This window comes from Homo sapiens, chromosome X (assembly GCF_000001405.40).
Source record: "Homo sapiens chromosome X, GRCh38.p14 Primary Assembly".
Taxonomy (NCBI): Eukaryota; Metazoa; Chordata; class Mammalia; order Primates; family Hominidae; genus Homo; species Homo sapiens.
Genome location: NC_000023.11, coordinates 96,014,581 through 96,021,060, shown reverse-complemented (window position 1 = coordinate 96,021,060; position 6,480 = coordinate 96,014,581).

The window sequence follows — 6,480 nt, the reverse complement described above, 5'->3', positions numbered from 1 at the left end:
ATAAGCATACGTGTGCATGTGTCTTTATAGCAGCATGATTTATAGTCCTTTGGGTATATACCCAGTAATGGGATGGCTGGGTCAAATGGTATTTCTAGTTCTAGATCCCTGAGGAATCGCCACACTGACTTCCACAAGGGTTGAACTAGTTTACAGGAGAACTTCCCCAATCTAGCAAGGCAGGCCAACATTCAGATTCAGGAAATACAGAGAACGCCAAAAAGATACTCCTCGAGAAGAGCAACTCCAAGACACATAATTGTCAGATTCACCAAAGTTGAAATGAAGGAAAAAATGTTAAGGGCAGCCAGAGAGAAAGGTCGGGTTACCCACAAAGGGAAGCCCATCAGAGTAACAGCGGATCTCTCGGCAGAAACTCTACAAGCCAGAAGAGAGTGGGGGCCAATATTCAACATTCTTAAAGAGAAGAATTTTCAACCCAGAATTTCATATCCAGCCAAACTAAGCTTCATAAGTGAAGGAGAAATAAAATACTTTACAGACAAGCAAATGCTGAGAAATTTTGTCACCACCAGGCCTGCCCTAAAAGAGCTCCTGAAGGAAGGACTTTTCTTTTAAATGTTTGACAAAATTCTCCAGTGAAGTCATTTAGTCCTGGACTTTGTTGAGGTGTGTGTGTGTGTGTGTGTGTGTGTGTGTGTGTGTGTGTGTGTTTAATGTCATAAAAATGTATATTGCATGTTAAGTTCTCTTATCAGAATTTTTAAGTGCATAATGTAATATTGTTAACTATAAGCACAGTGTAGTACAGCAGGATCCTAAAACTTATTTGTCTTGTATAATTGAAGCTTTATACTAATTGAACAGAAATTCCCCAATTGCTCCTCTCCTCAGCGCGTGGCAACCACCAAACTACTCTTTGTTTCTATGAGGTTGACTTTTTGAGGTACCTCATAGAAGTGGAAGTATACAGTGTTAATTCTTCTGTGATTGGCTTTTTTCACTTAGCATAATGTTTTCCAGGTTCATATAGTATGATTTCCTTCTTTTTATAGCTGAATAGTATTCCATTGTATGTATATACAATATTTTTTATTCATTCATGCATCTATGAATGTTTAAGTAATTTCCATATCTTGGCTATTGTAAATAATACAGCAGTCAACATGGGATTGCATGTATCTCTTTGAGATCCTGATTTCAACACTTTTGGATATATACCCAGAAGTGGGATTACTGAATTTTTTGAGGAAACTCCATACTGTTTTCCATAGTGACTGAATCATTTTATGTTTTCACCAATTACATCCTTGCCAATAGTTGTAATTTTTTAAATAATGGCCATCCATATTAGTCCATTCTCACACTGCTATGAAGAAATACCTGAGACTGGGTAACTTATGAAGGAAAGAGGTTTAATTGACTCTCAATTTCACATTGCTGGGGATACCTGAGGAAACTTACAATCATGGTGGAAGGCAAAGGAGAAGCAAGCACCTTGTTCAGAGGGTGGCAGGACAGAGTGAGTGCAAGCAGGGGAAATGCCAGATGCTTATAAAACCATCAGATCTCATAAGACTCACTCATTATCATGAGAACATCATGGGAGAAACCACCCCCATGATCCAATTACCTTCACCTGGTCCCGCCCTTAACACGTGTGGATTATTACAATTCAAAGTGAGATTCGGGTGGGGACACAGAGCCAAATCATGTTACCATCCTAACAGGTGTGAGGTGACAACTCATTGTGGTTTTGATTTGCATTTCCCTGATTATTAGTAATGTTGATTATCTTTTAATTTACCTGTCAACCAATAGGCGCTTTTTGGAGAAATGGTTATTCAAGTCCATTGCCCATATTTTAAAAATAAGGTCACTTGGTTTTTTGCTATTTATTTATATGTGTTCTTTATATACTTTGGATATTAACTTCTTTTCAGATACATGGTTTTCAAACATTTTTTTCCATTCTGTAGGTTGTCTTTTCACTCTGTTGATTGTTTTCTTTGGTGTTCAGAGGCTTTTTTTCATGATGAAATGGCACTGATCTATTTTTGTTTTAGTTGCCTGTGCTTTATTTCATATCGAAGAAGTCATTGCCAAGACCAGTGTCATGAAGACTTCCCCTTATGTTTTGTTGTGGGAGTTTTATACTTTCAGGCTTTACATTTAAATCTTTAATCAATTTTGAGTTGATTTTTGTGTATGGGGTATGTTAAGGGTCCAGTTTTATTCCTTTGCAAGTATATATTCAGTTCTTCCAAAACTATTTGTTGAAGAGACTATCCTTTACCAAATTTGTAGTTGTGACACCCTCATTTATCTGTTTCTCTTACTTTCAGTGTATGTGTGTCTTTAAATCTAAAGCGAGTCTAAGGACTTATTATTGCCAATATCATAATGTTTTCTCACTATCATGGAGTTTTTGTCCCTCTTTTCCTCGCTTGCTGTCTTCGTCTTTTTTTTTTTTTTTGGTATTGATATACTTTAACTCCTTTCTTTTTCTTTTATGTATCTTCTGTAGGTTTTTTCTCCATGGTTATCATGGGGTATACATAAAACCTTTCATATTTGTAATTGTCTGTTTTAAACTGATAACAACTTAACTTCAATTGCATACAAAACCTCCATGCTTGGGGCTCCCTTGTATGTTACAAATCACTTTTCTCTTGTTGCTTTCAAGATTCTCCCTCTTTGACTTAAGACAGTTTGATTATAAAGTATCTGGATGTGATTCTCTTTGGTTTTATCACAGTTTTGAACCTGTTGAATCTTTTTCTTTTTTCAGATTTGGGAGTTTTATCCCAATATGTCTCCTAATACGCTCTATGCTTCTTTTTTTCCCCCTCTCTTCTCCCTCTGTTGCCCCTATAATGCATATATTGCCCAGCTTGATAGTGTCCCATAAGTCTCTTAGGCTATTTTGCTTTTCTTCATTCTCTTTTCTCATTTGCCCTTTGGCTCAATGATGTCAAATAAATTGTCTTTAAGTTACTGGACTTGATTCTGCTTGATTATGTCTGCTGTTGAACCCTTTTAATTTTTTAGTTTAGTTATTATATTTTTAAACCAGAATTTTTATTTGGTCCTTTCTTAGAGTTTCTCTTTATTGATATTCTCAGTTTACTAATCATTTTTCTAATTTCATTTAGTTGTCTATCTGTTCTCTTTTGGATCATTGAGCATCTTTATGACAGTTATTTTAAATTCTTTTTTTGAGTAGCCCCTTGGTACACATTTCTTTAGTGTTGGTTTCTGGAGTTTTATTTTGTTCCTTTGATTGGGCCACTTTTACCTGTTTCTTTATATGCTTTGTTATTTTTTGTTGGGATTTGGGCATTTTGAAGAAAAAAAAAAAGCCACCTCTCCTAATCTTTGTGGTATTGGCTTTGTGCAGGGAAAGATCTTCACCAGTCAGCCTGGTTGGAGGTTCCAGGACCTCTCAGAACTTTCCAATCTCTTGGATCTCCTGGCATTTAACTGTAGAACTGCAGCTCTAATGCACTGCTTACCCCTTTCTTCAGTGGCTTCCAAACTCTGCTGCTGTCCCATCAGCACTCCAAATCAGGCAAGACAGAAAAACCTTTCCTTAGGAAGCCCCAAGGGAAGTTAGAACATTTTATGCACTCTTTTGTTTTTCTCCTGAGGGAGGAGCCCAGACATGAGGGATTTTCTCCTTATTGCTCTGTGCTATGTAACATAGGGTGAGGGACAGAAACAGGTGCACAAAATGCAATGATTTTTTCTACCCCTTTCACTGGAATCCCTTCTGGGTTTTACAATAACCTGGGTTCCATAGCTTCCTAACTAGTCTCTAGAGTTCTCAGTTATTCTGGTCCCTATATTGTTGTTAACTCAGGGTCTCTCTAGGGGAAAGAGGGTCTATAGCATCCTATTTTGCTGTCTTGCTGATGTCCCCTCACATTTATGTATTTTAAAATTGACAAATAAAAATTGTATATATCTATGATGTACAGCATGTTTTGATATATATGTGTATATGTGTATATATACATATATATGCATTGTGGAATGGCTAAATCAAGCTATTTAACATAGGCATTACCTAATATACCATTTTGGTGGTGGGTAAACTTAAAATCTACTTTCAAAACAATTTTTAAGTATGCTATATATTGTTATAAACTGTAGTTACCATGATGGATAATAGGTCTCTTGAACTTATTTCTTTTGTCAAACTAAAATTTTGTTTCTTTTGACCAACATTTTCTCAATTTTCCCACCCCCCAGCCTGTGGTGACCACTATTTTACTTTCTATTTCTGAGTTCAACTTCATTAGATTGTACATATATGTGAGATCATGTGGTATTTGTTTTTCTGCACCTGGCTTATTTTACCCCAATTCACTCCAATTTATGCCTATTTCACTCCAATTTATGGCTTATTTCACTTCAATTTATGCTCCAAGGAACAAGGTTTTTCTATGTTGCTACAAATGGCAGGATTTCCTTCTTTTGTTTAAGGCTGAATAGTACTCCATTGTGTATATATACCAATGGAATATTGGTATATTTTCTTTATTCATTCATTTGTTGATGAAGTACACATTTAAAATAAATATGTACACATAAAATATTTAATTAGTAGTCTTGCATTTTTGCATTTTACATAAATGTTCTGTTGTACACACACAGATATCCTTCTGAAACTTTTCAACATGCTATGGTTTTGAGATTTTGCCATGTAACAAATGTAGTTCTAGTTCATTCTTTTCTTATTGTTTTATGATATTTCATTGTATGACTGTAACTGTTTATTGGATCATTCTTCTACTGATGGACATTAGAATATTTTTTCAGTCTTTAAGTATTACAAAAAAAAGCTACAGTAAGAATGCTTCACGTGTATGACTGTTCTCTGGGTTGTACACTTTAAAAGTAGACTTGCAGAGTCTCAGATTATACATATCCTCAAATACATTAGATATCTTCAAACTTATCTCCTAAAGGCTATACCAATTTATGGTCCAAGAAACAAGGTCCTCTTCTTCCACCTCCTCACTTATATCTGGTATTTTGCATTTAATTTAGTGAACGTGAGAAATATAACATGGTATCTCAACTTGTATTCACATTGTTAATAGTGAGAATGAGCATATGTCTTTTGGCTATTTGCATTTCCTATTCGATAACCATTTCTGTTAGCCTAAACTTCTAATATATGAAATTTAAGATAATAATGTTGAGGCTGTATGAGATGATATATGCATAACCCCAAAATCTACACATTCTCCACTTTTCTGGATTCACACTTTCCTTTAATATTGAAGCAATTTGACTTTATCCTTCTATTTTTCTATATTGTTGGACTATCACCAGGCTCTGCAATATTTCGAGAATTTATGAGAAGAGTAGCTCTCTGTGTGTATATGTGTGTGTGGAGGGGGGTGGGGATGTATGTGAAAGAATTTCTGTTCTCCTGATACCTACCACCTCCAAATTATTATTACAATATGTTTTTTGATACCTGATGTCATCTTACTTCCTGCAACTGTTATGTTGTCTACATCATTCTAAGCATGGAAAATAATATCTTCATTATTCTTCAATACAAATCCATCAAAACACTGTCGTGTATAACCAAAATGCATGGGAAAATTTGGGGGAATGATGGGTAATTTTTGCCCAAAAGAGAAAAGGTCTAGTGCAAGTTAGATATCACTATTTCCTGAATATTTTTATTGTTATTTTTGAGTCTCACTGCTATGGTTTGACTATATCCCATAAAGTTTATGTTTTGCAAATTTAATCCCAATGCAACAGTGTTGGGAGGTGAGGCCAAATAAGTGATTAGGTAATGAGAGATTTGCCCCCCTGAATGGATTAATGCTATTTTAGGATTGGGTTATTACAGGAATGGGTTATTGCAGGAGTGGATTAATTTTCAAGAAAGTGGCCTTGTTATAAAAGCAAGTTCAGCCCCCTCTTGTTCTTTTGCTCTCTTACAAGTGCTGTATTGTTATTCTACAGATGGCATAGTAAGAAGACCTTCACCAGTTATAAGCCCCTTGAGATTGGACTTCCCAGCTTCAGAATTGTAAGATATATATATTTCATATATATATATAGATTTTTATATATATATTTTATAAATTACTCAGTTTGTGGTATTCTGTTATAGCAATACAAAATGAACTAATACATTCACTATCAAGATCCTGGTAACAAATCCCAGATTTCTGTTGCTCTGCAATGTACAGAAATAAATTTCTCTGTTTCTCAAAACTCTTAGATTATTCTGTGAGAAAAGGATCTGGGGGCAAGGCAGGGATAGCTTGGGTTTTTGACTAAAAGGACAAGTTAAGAAGATTTTTAAAAAACAAATCGTGCAGTTCCATCTCACTTAAACATATGCAGCACCAATCCCAAACACATTCAAAAAGTACTGGAAAAAATATAAAGACAGAATATTTTATTGTACAAGAGTTCAAAACAATGTAATAAAGCAAAAAAGTATTACAAAGCATAAAAAGTAAAAGGTAAAGCAGTTTTGAT